The sequence below is a fragment of the Homo sapiens genome, chromosome 14 (assembly GCF_000001405.40).
Source record: "Homo sapiens chromosome 14, GRCh38.p14 Primary Assembly".
Classification (NCBI taxonomy): domain Eukaryota; kingdom Metazoa; phylum Chordata; class Mammalia; order Primates; family Hominidae; genus Homo; species Homo sapiens.
Window position 1 is genome coordinate 77,747,868 of NC_000014.9, and position 11,045 is coordinate 77,758,912.

Here is an 11,045-nt window from a genome sequence, read left to right on the forward strand (position 1 = left end):
GGTGAGGAGCCCCTCTGCCCAGAGGCCACCCCGTCTGGGAGGTGTACCCAACAGCTCATTGAGAACAGGCCATGATGACGATGGCGGTTTTGTCGAATGGAGAGGGGGGAAATGTGGGGAAAAGATAGATAAATCAGATTGTTGCTGTGTCTGTGTAGAGGGAAGTAGACGTAGGAGACTCCATTTTGTTCTGTACTAAGAAAAATTCTTCTGCCTTTGGATGCTGTTAATCATAACCTTACCCCTAACCCCATGCTCTCTGAAACATGTGCTGTGTCCACTCAGGGTTAAATGGATTAAGGGCGGTGCAAGATGTGCTTTGTTAAACAGATGCTTGAAGGCAGCATGCTTGTTAAGAGTCATCACCACTCCCTAATCTCAAGTACCCAGGGACACAAACACTGCGGAAGGCCGCAGGGTCCTCTGCCTAGGAAAACCAGAGACCCTTGTTCACTTGTTTATCTGCTGACCTTCCCTCCACTATTGTCCTATGACCCTGCCAAATCCCCCTCTCCGAGAAACACCCAAGAATGATCAATAAATACTAAAATAAATAAATAAATAAATAAAATATTTTAGGAAAAAAAAATTTGGAATTATATATATCACTGTAGTAACAGCAGTTACCTCTGGGAAGTAAAGTAGGAGAAAAGCGGGCAGGACTATATATACTTGTGATATATACTTATGGTATCTTTTACTATAATATATTATTTGTATAACTTTTTTTTTTATTTGAGACAGAGTCTTGCTCTGTCGCCCAGGCTGGAGTGCGGTGGTGCCGTCTTTAGCTCACTGCAAGCTCTGCCTCCCAGGTTCACGCCATTCTCCTGCCTCAGCCTCCCGAGTAGCTGGGACTACAGGTACCCGCCACCATGCCCAGCTAATTTTTTGTGTTTTTAGTAGAGACGGGGTTTCACTGTGTTAGCCAGGATGTTCTCAATCTCCTGACCTCGTGATCCACCCACCTCAGTCTCCCAAAGTGCTGGGATTACAGGTGTGAGCCACCACACCCAGCCTATTTGTATAATTTTTTTTAAAAAAATCAATATAATAGTAAGAAAAAATGACTCCCAGGCTTTCAGCATAAACAATTAGGAAAATATCACTACCACTTACTGAGTTACAGAAATAGCAGGTAGATTAAGTGGAAAATTATGTATTTAGGTTTGGATTTGATTAAGTAGCACTTTAGGGAAATCTAGATACACTTGCCCTTGTAGACAGTAAGATATAAGGACCTACAGCCCAGCAGAGAATACTGGGCTGGAAACACAGATTGAACAGTCATCAGCATATGAGTGGCAAATAAATTACATTAGTTAAAGAGAATGTGCTGTGTTTTTTGGTTAAAGTCACAGAATGATTAAAAGAAAAAAATATATAAAGAGAATGTGCTGTAAAAAAATGTGTTAAGAGACTTTTGCCAGAGAGCACCTCATCAAACTGGTTTAGGTGAGGTCATTTTGTAGTGAATTGAAGAGTGAAAGGAAAGTGAAGAAACAGGGCAAAAACAACTCCTGAAACAAGCCTGAAAAAAGTGAAGAAAATTAGGTGGTAGCTAGACAGAACACTGCGAGTAGGTACTCAGGGAAAAGCCTATCTTTCAAAAGATAAGAAAGGCCAGGCAGCCTCATGCCTGTAATCCCAGCACTTTGGGAGGCCGAGGTGGGCAGATCACGAGGTCAGGAGATCAAGACCATCCTGGCTAACATGGTGAAACCCCATCTCTACTAAAAATACAAAAAAATTCACCGGGCATGGTGGCAGGCGCCTGTAGTCCCAGCTACTCGGGGGGCTGACATACGATGATCGCCTGAGCCCAAGAGTTCAAGGTTGCAATGAATTATGAGGGTGCCAGGGCACTACAATCTAAAAAAGAATAAACAAACAAATGACAAGAAAAACAAGCACATTCAAATGCTAACAGGAAAGAGCCGTTAGAAGAGGAGGGATGAAGAACTGTTGAGAAGATTAACTAGTAGGTAAGGTTCATAGAGGAAGAGGGAAGGGATTGGGATCCAGAATACATATGGCAAGATCAGGTGTAGATCCAGGTGCAGTGGCTCACGCCTGTGATCCCAGCACTTTGGGTGGCAGAAGCAGGAGGATTGCTTGAGCCCAAAAGTTCAAGACCAGCTTGAGTAACATAGGGATATCCCACCTCTACAAAAAAATAATAAATTAGCCAGGCATGGTGGTGCACACCTGTGCTCTCAGCCACTCGAGAGGCTGAGGTGGGAGGAATGCTTGAGCCCAGGAGGTCGAGGCTTCAGTGAGCCATCATCGTGCCACTGCACTCCAGCCTGGGCAACAGAACAAGACCCTGTCTCAAAAAAACAAATAAAAAATAAAATAAAAAAAGATTAGGCTTAGACAGAAGAAGGCATTTCGTGCAAAAACAAAAGTAAAAGTCGAGGAAAAAGGACAAGTGCAGGATGAAGAAAATTGACAATTGTCTTCCAATAGTCTTTATATTCAAATAGATGGGGGAGTCACCTGCTAAGGATGAGATGGGATGAAAGGAGTAGGAATTAAAGTTTGGTGGGAGTACCAAGGGAGCTGAGCTGAAATAGGAGATATAAATCTGCATGATTGCATAATTGTCTTCCCCCAAAGCTCAGCAGCCATGATGCAGAAGCAAAGGATGGGTTGTTAGTGCTATTTTAGAGGGTAAATTGAAAAAGTTTGGCGGGGAGAGAGAGGCCAATGATAGGCACTGAAAGCTCTCAAGTATTTTTCCAAACATCATCAGTTCTAAGGAAATCTTTCACTTCTATCTTGAGTATTTATTTACAAGAAAAAAAAAAAACTAGGTCTTCTTAAAAATAGTTCCTTGGCCCTGAGTGTAGCTGTTCTGTGATGAGATTATTTTAAGCAAATTTTATTTTTGGCCTATGGATTACTTCGTAGCAGGGCCATCCTAAATCTGGATAGCAAATGCTAGTTTTGTACTTAATCTAGGGCAAAAGAAGTTTGTGTAATTTATTATACTCAAATAAACTATTAAATACTTGTAATAGAGTACATGTAAGTACTCTAAGTACATGGAGGAAATGAGTCAAGACTATAGGAAAAAACTAGAAGAAACTACAGGATAAATTAAAAGTTGATGGTAAGGCTCTGGGGTTGCAGATTTTTAAAAATTTACTGGCAGTTTTAGAATGCTAGTAATATAAAGTAACTGTTTTAAAATGTACTTTTTTCCCCCTTTAAAACAAGGTATTGCCACCCAAGCAAGAGTGCAGTGGCTCACTGTATCCTCAAACTCTTGGGCTCAGTCAAACCTCCTACCTCTGCCTCCCAAGTAGCTGGGAATATAGGTACGAGCCACCATGCCCAGCCACTGCTACTTTTAACATAATTCAAACAGCAAGAGATTTATCGTGTCCACAAAATTTAAAATGTTTCCTAAAATATTTATCATTCAGGGAAAACATGAGAGGATTACCTTGTCTTTTGACTGTCCTTGTCGAGCAATTGCATCATATTTAATTTTTCCTTCAGAATCCACCTGAATGGCCAGCGCATTCGACATTTTTTTCTTTCGTCCCATATCCAGTGGATACTGGGCCACATGGATCTCTGGAAAAGCACCTCCATCTCCAAAATCCTACACATTAGAAGTAGTTAAATAAAATAGTTAATCATCATTTGACATTCAAGATATATTCATTCATTCAACAAGTAATTGTTGAGTCCTTAGTATGCTAGATGCTAGAGATACAGCAGAGTTCCCTGCCTCTTGTGGAGTTTACATTCTAGTAGGCAAAGATATAAAAAACACATTCTTTGGCTTGTGATAAGTACCATGAAGGTAATATAAAAGAAAAAGACTGGGAAAAGGGGCTACTTTTGATAGGGTGGTTGGGGACAGCCTTTGTGAAGAAGTAACATGTGAGCTAAAGCCTGAATGATTAGAAAGCAGTCATGGGAAGACACACACACACACACACACACACACACACACACACACACCACACACACACACACACAAAGCATTTTCTAGATGGATCAAATAGCCAATGCAAAGGCCCTGCTGCAAGAATGAGCTTGGTATATTTTAGGAAATGAGAATTCAGTGGGGCTAACAGCTTAATAAGGACAGCAGAGCTTGAGGCACAAGTTACATGAGTAAAAAACACCAGATCACAAAGGGACTTACATGCTACAGCAAGAAAATGTGGATTTCATATATGCAGGACGAAACTAAGTAAAATGGCTAGGACAAGGCAAAATATATGTGTATATATTTTAGCATATAAATACATATTTTAGTGAGGAACAGGTAAAGCTATACTTGGGGCAGAAATATAAAAGATTTTTTCTTGGAATCAGATTTTATTAACATATTATTTATTCATTGTTATGTGAGAAGCAAATGAATACAATAGGAAGGATCCAGAAATGAGTTTACTACATTTCTACTAGTGATTATACATAATTATTTAGGAGAGAGAACTGAGACTGCTAAAGTAGAACAAGCTAAATAAAGTTTGCTGATGAAATGTAGTATTTTAAAAAGGTTTATCAAATAAACATGAGGATCAAGTATAATTTTTAAGTAGTTAAAAAAAATTCAGTAGTATTTGCTTAGTACACTTTAAACATGATTCACACATGTATTATCTCATTTAATCCTTGTAACTCTTTAACATCATTTTAAATGGAAACATTCAGGCTTAGAAAAATTAAGCGGTGTTCCTGAGATCTCATAGGTATTATATGCAGCACCTGAACCCAGATCTTTTGAGACTCCGAAAAGCTTTGTATTTTCTACTACTATGAAATACCTTTCTTTTAGCTCAAAACAGCCAAATGAGTACTATTAAGAAATAATAGAAAACACAAATTAAAATTAATCATTTAGAGGGGGTTTGATGGAAAAAAAAGAAAATATTCACTTTTACAAGACCTCTTTAAGTAATACTCCGTTAGATCTAAGATATATGAGTTCCTAAGTACAATATGCTTATTTGCTAAAGAGATGTTTGAAGTTTTTGAAAACCAAGAGAATAAAGCTGAGAGACATTTTCTTGTAAATGAGAAAGAGTTAAAGCATTCCTAAGATAAGTGCTTCCCGTACCCAAGCCATCAATCTGACACATGCTTGGATTTGCTAGAGTTTTTCAACTATAATAAGTACTTCAGAACTGTAGCTGTAGCATTATGTGGTCATTAAGCTTGCCAGAAAATCATAGCTTTTATTTTGAAAACTAGAACAAAATGCCTTCTTCCACAGAACATTCACTCCCCTCAAGCAGCATCCATAGCATTTCCAGATTAGCTAGCCATTTCAACTTGATTTTCAAATAAGTTGTTCTGTTTCACCAGGATATATGAAACCACTGATAGCCAAGTAAGAATCTAAAAATCTAATAGCAACCAAGTATCGTAATGCTGAAATGCATGGATGAGATTTACATTCTATGTAAGATGATGCCTGTCACCCTCATTGTGCAATGTACTGACAGACCAAACAATATTTATAATGCCTCAACAGAGACACTCAACTGCTCTATTAGATGATGCCAATCACTACTTTTTTGCCCCAGGTAAGACTCCTTGATAATCTTTCATCTTCCTCTGCCTCCCATAAATAACACTATCAGAGAGAACAAAAGCAACAAAAATCCCTTAATAATTGCAATATGACTGGCCTTCACACACCAGCATTCATAAGGACCAGAGGAAAGCTGACAAAAAAGCAACAAAAAGACCTACATGTGGGTTTTTTGGAATACATAGGACAAGATATGATCTAGTTGGGTGTTCCTCTTATAAACTCTAATAAAGAGTGTGGGGCAGGCGCGGTGGCTCACACCTGTAATCCCAGCACTTTAGGAGGCCGAGGCAGGTGGATCACCTGAAGTCAGGAGTTCAAGACCAGCCTAGCAAACATGGTGAAACCCTGTCTGTACTAAAAATACAAAAAATTAGCTGGATGTGGTGGCACGTGCCTGTAATCCTGGCTACTTGGGAGGCTGAGGCAGGAGAATCGCTTGAACCCAGGAGGCGAAGGCTGCAGTGAGCCAAGATCGCACCACTGCACTCCAGCCTGGGAAACGGAGCGAGATTCCATCCCAAAAATAAAAAAAATAAAAATTAATTAATTAATGTAAAGGATCCTGAGTAATTAGAATAGGTGCTGCCAAGGAAGCTTGTTCTTTTTATTTTTATTTTTTATTTTTTTTGAGATGGAGTTTTGCTGTTGTTGCCCAGGCTGGAGTGCAATGGTGCGATCTTGGCTCACCACAACCTCTGCCTCCCAGGTTCAAGCAATTCTCCCGCCTCAGCCTCCGGAGTAGCTGGGATTACAGGCATGCGCCACCACACCTGGCTAATTTTGTATTTTTAGTAGAGACAGGGTTGCTCCATGTTGGTCAGGCTGGTCTCGAACTCCTGGCCTCAGGTGATCTGCCCGCCTTGGCCTCCCAAAGTGCTGGGATTACAGGTGTGAGCCACTGCGCCCGACCGGAAGCTTGTTATTTGGCAACAAGCTAGAGATAGAAAGAGCTATTCCAGATGGTTCCTTCTCCCTCATTGCCTTCAAATCAACCAAATTTTGTCTTATACCCGCAAAAATATATTTAATCTATATATCAGATATATATTAACATTCTCAAATTAAAGGTAAGAAAACAGGTGAAGAGAAAGAAATCAGCAAAGGAAGTGCTACTGGAGTTTTCCCTGAAGGAAAGTTGTCTCTTCAGGGTTATGTGGTATTATCGGAGGGGAGGAGGAGGAGGAGGAGCCCAAATATGAAAACCACTTTCATCTCTCTTATCTTTTACTTTCCCATTATTTTCCGTAATTCCTGAATTTATAAAATATTAGTTTTCTTGTAAATATTTAATAGTTTGATATAGGAATAGACAAATGGTACAGTTCTCTAGTGACCACAAAGCAGTGATAGATAATAAGCAAAAAGAAAATGATACATCTTCTGAGGGAAATATACATCTTGAGAGCACATAACCAGAATTTCTATCACACTGACATTCATAATCAGAGGTTCTAACATTTAAATTTATGTTATAGTGTGCTATAATAAATTTCAGCACAATTTAACAAATCTAAACTTAAGATCTATATGTACCTCTAATAACCGAGGTATCCAGCCTTTCCGGTATCCGTACGGGGGAGGTTCTCTTCGGGAGGAGACCAGTGAGGTCTGCCGTGATCTCTGGGATCTTGCCTTTTCTTCAGCCTCAAGCTGGTCCTGAGATAGCTGAGTAGGTGCAGGTAAAAAGCTATAAGCAAAGATAATAAAAGTCAGAAATTTAAAAAACTCTTATGTTTAATTTGACCACTGCAACTTGGCCACAGAGACAATTTTTCCTACGATGCTTTTACTTTTCAGAAAAAGAGCAGATTTTTCAATGATTTATGGTAGTACTCAATACTAGCCATTTTATAATATGTGGAAGACAGAAGTACTCAAAGATACACAGTAAAAACATCTGACTAGGACAACAGCAAATGATGTCCAGAATAAAAAATTAACAGATATTTCACATAACAGACAAACTCTTAAGCGTTTATGCTTCCATATTTCCTTTTTTTTTTGAGAAAGAGTCTCACTCTGTTGCCCAGGCTGGAGTACAGTGGTGTCATCTCCACTCACTGCAACCTCTGCCTCCTGGGTTCAAGTGATTTTCCTCCCTCAGCCTCCCAAGTAGCTGGGATTACAAGCATGCGCCACCACACCAGGCTAATTTTTGCAATTTTAGTAGAGATGGGGTTTCACCATGTTGGCCAGGCTGGTCTTGAACTTGACCTCAAGTGATCCGCTGACCTTGGCCTCCCAAAGTGCTGGAATTACAGACGTGTGCCACCACACCTGGCCATGCTTCCGTATTTCCATATTTCTTTCCTTTTTTTTTTTTGAGACAGAGTCTCTCTGTGTCACCTAGGCTAGAGTGCAGTGGCACCATCTCAGCTCACTGCAGCCTCCACCTCCTGGGTTCAAGTGATTTTCCTGCCTCACCCTCCCAAGTAGCTGGGATTACAGATGTGCAGCACCACGCCCACCTAATTTTTGTATTTTTAGTAGAGACAGGGTTTCGCCATGTTGGCCAGGCTGGTCTCGAACTCCCGACCGCAGGTGATGTGCCCGCCCCGGCCTCCCAAAGTGCTAGGATTACAGGTGTGAACCACCACGCCCAGCCTGTTTCCATATTTCTTATAACAAACAAGTAAACATTCCTAATACTTCAGGGATAAACTGTCCAGTATATACTTGCTATTCTTATACTCCTTTTTTTTTTTGAGACAGAGTCTCGTTCTGTCGCCCAGCCTTGAGTGCAGTGGTGCAACCTCGGCTCACTGAAACCTCTGTCGCCTGGATTCGTGTGATTCTCATGCCTCAGCCTCCCGAGTAGCTGGGATTACAGGTGCATGCCACCACATCCCTATTTTTTGTATTTTTAGTAGAGACTGGTTTTTGCCATGTTGGCCCATGTTGGTCAGGCTGGTCTCGAACTCCTGACCTCAAGTGATCCATCAGCCTCCATCTCCCAAAGTACTGGGATTACTGGCATGAGCCACCACGCCTGGCTACTCCTTGTTTTTAACATTTTTACCATTATGCTCCTTACTTTAAACTACTTCAGTGTAAATACAAAAGAACTAGGATTAAAACTGAATGTAAAAAAGAGGTGGATAAAATAAACACAAGTTGCATATTTAAGTGTCAAGGGTATCTACAATGAAATTTAAAACTTAGAGGCCAGGCCAGCCATGGTGGCTCACACCTGTAATCCCAGCACTTTGGGAGGCCGAGGTGGGTGGATCACTTGAGGTCAGGAGATCAAGACCGGCCTGATCAACATGGTGAAACCCTGTCTCTACTAAAAATACAAAATTAGCCAGGCGTGCTGGTGTGCGCCTGTAATCCCACTCGGGAGGCTGAGGCAGGAGAATCACTTGAATCCGGTAGGTGGAGGGTACAGTGAGCCAAGATTGCACCATTGCACTCCAGCCTAGGCAACAACAGCAAAACTCCATCTCAAACAAACAAACAACAACAAAAAAACCCTTAGAGGCCAAAGAATCAAAGCAGAAGCCCTGAAGATGCAGCTTATTCTTTAGTCAAGGTAACCTTTCTACTAAATGGTTCTTAACAACTTTTAAGTATTAAAGTATTACAGTGATACTCCAAAGTATTACAAAAGGATCCTGATGGATGAATATGGAGAAAATAACCTTAGTTCCTTTGTGATTCTTGGATAGTAAGCATACCTAAGTAGCAGAGCTTATTAATTATTCAAAAATATTTATTATTTGGGTACAAGCACTATGCTAGGCATGAGACTATAAATGGAGAAAGACAGCTTAGTCTTGCAGACAGAGACCAAAAAAAAAAAAATCACACAAATCTATAATTACACATTATGTTAAGTTATGATGGAAAAATATAGATGCTATGACAGTCTACATGAGAGGGATCTAATCCAGTCTGGGGAGGTAAGTGATGGCTAGGCTCAGAATTCAGATCCGACCTATGCCACTTACTAACCTGGATAAGCTACTTACCTCTCTGAATCTGTTTTCTCATCTGTAATAATAGTTCATAAGAGTATCTACTTCATAAGGTTCTTATAAGTATTAAATGAGAGAAATCCATGAACCAGTTGGTATAGTATCTAGACACTTTCAATACAGGTTCTGTATGTTTGATTATTTCAGGGCTGTTCCATGACTCCTCCAGTTTGGGTTAACTGCCTGTCTCTATGCTCCCCCAAAACGCTCTACATACCACTACTACAACATTACCTTACTGTATTGCAATCATCTACTCATTTAACTATTCTGTTTTCATGAGACTGTGAGCAGCTCTGCAGGAATCACGCCTTATGCTTCTTTCATCCCTAATGCTCCAAGACTTCTAGCTCACAGCTCGAGCTCCTTAAATGTTGTAGGAGAAATAAATACACTCTTCCCCAGCACTCACCATCTTTATTTCACTACAGCCTTCTTATCTTTTCTTAAACAAGCCATCTCAGGATCTTTACATTGGCTATTCCTTCTGCCATCAAATCAATCTAATCATCTATCTATCTATCTATCTATCTATCTATCTATCGCAATCAATCAATCACAATTTTTCTCTATTGCAATCAATCAATCACAATTTTTCTCTATCTATCTATCTATTGCAATCAATCACAATTTTTCCGGCTGGGCGAGGTGGCTCACACCTGTAATTCCAACACTTTGGGAGGCCAAGGCAGGTGGATTACTTGAGGCCAGGAGTTCGAGACCAGCCATGCCAATATAGTGAAACCCTGTCTCTATTAAAAACACAAAAATTAGCCGGGCGTGGTGGCGGACGCCTGTAATCCCAGCTGAGGCAGGAAAATCACTTGAACCTGGGAGGTGGAGTTTGTAGTGAGCTGAGATTGCTCCACTGCACTCCAGCCTGGGTGAGAGTGAGACTCTGCCACAAAAAAAAAAAAAAAAAAAAAGAACAAATTTTCGTATGCTTTTATAGAAAATTCTTCTCCAGATCTCCAGATCTTTTCTTTTTTGATTGCTCCTTGCTGGGCAGGGCTATCCCACAGGCAGTATGCCTAGAGTAGCCCCAGATCTTTCAACAGCTTGCATCTCAGCACTCTTGTCTCTGCTCAGTTACCTCTCTCTAGAGCTGTTTTCTGACCACCTTACCCAAAATAGCCACTTCACCCCAAACTCTGAGTCACTCTCTAACCCGGTCTTTATTTTATTCCTAGCATGTATTACGTGAAATTGCATTATGATTTTACTCACTCTGTCCCATTAGAATGTAAGCTAATTAGAATTCTGTCCCACTAGAATTCCAATTCTGTCCCATTAGAGTGTAAGCTCCATGTGGATAGAGTATAAAATTAAAACAAACTCAGTTTCTCCTATTATTTCACTCAACAATCAACAACACACAACACTTCTGATACCAGATGTGTGATGGTTTTTCCCCACATATCAAGCAAGCTATCAACTGTGTCTACTGGACACCAGTCAAGTGTCCTCTAATTCAATTCAATTTTGATGTTATCTACCTGGAG

The 11,045-nt window shown here is 40.3% G+C and overlaps 1 protein-coding gene across 3 annotated transcripts in view; it reads right to left on the bottom strand.

Moving 5' to 3' along the window:
• Positions 1 to 11,045, bottom strand: part of SNW1 (SNW domain containing 1) — a 43,558-nt gene that overhangs the window by 30,269 nt on the left and 2,244 nt on the right. For all 3 annotated transcript variants that reach the window (NM_012245.3, NM_001318844.2, XM_047431112.1), the window contains exons 2-3: positions 7,100 to 7,253; positions 3,452 to 3,613 (exon numbers count right to left, since the gene is read on the bottom strand). In NM_012245.3, the coding sequence (NP_036377.1) occupies positions 3,452 to 3,613; positions 7,100 to 7,253 (316 nt within the window). The remainder of the gene's footprint in view (positions 1 to 3,451; positions 3,614 to 7,099; positions 7,254 to 11,045) is intronic.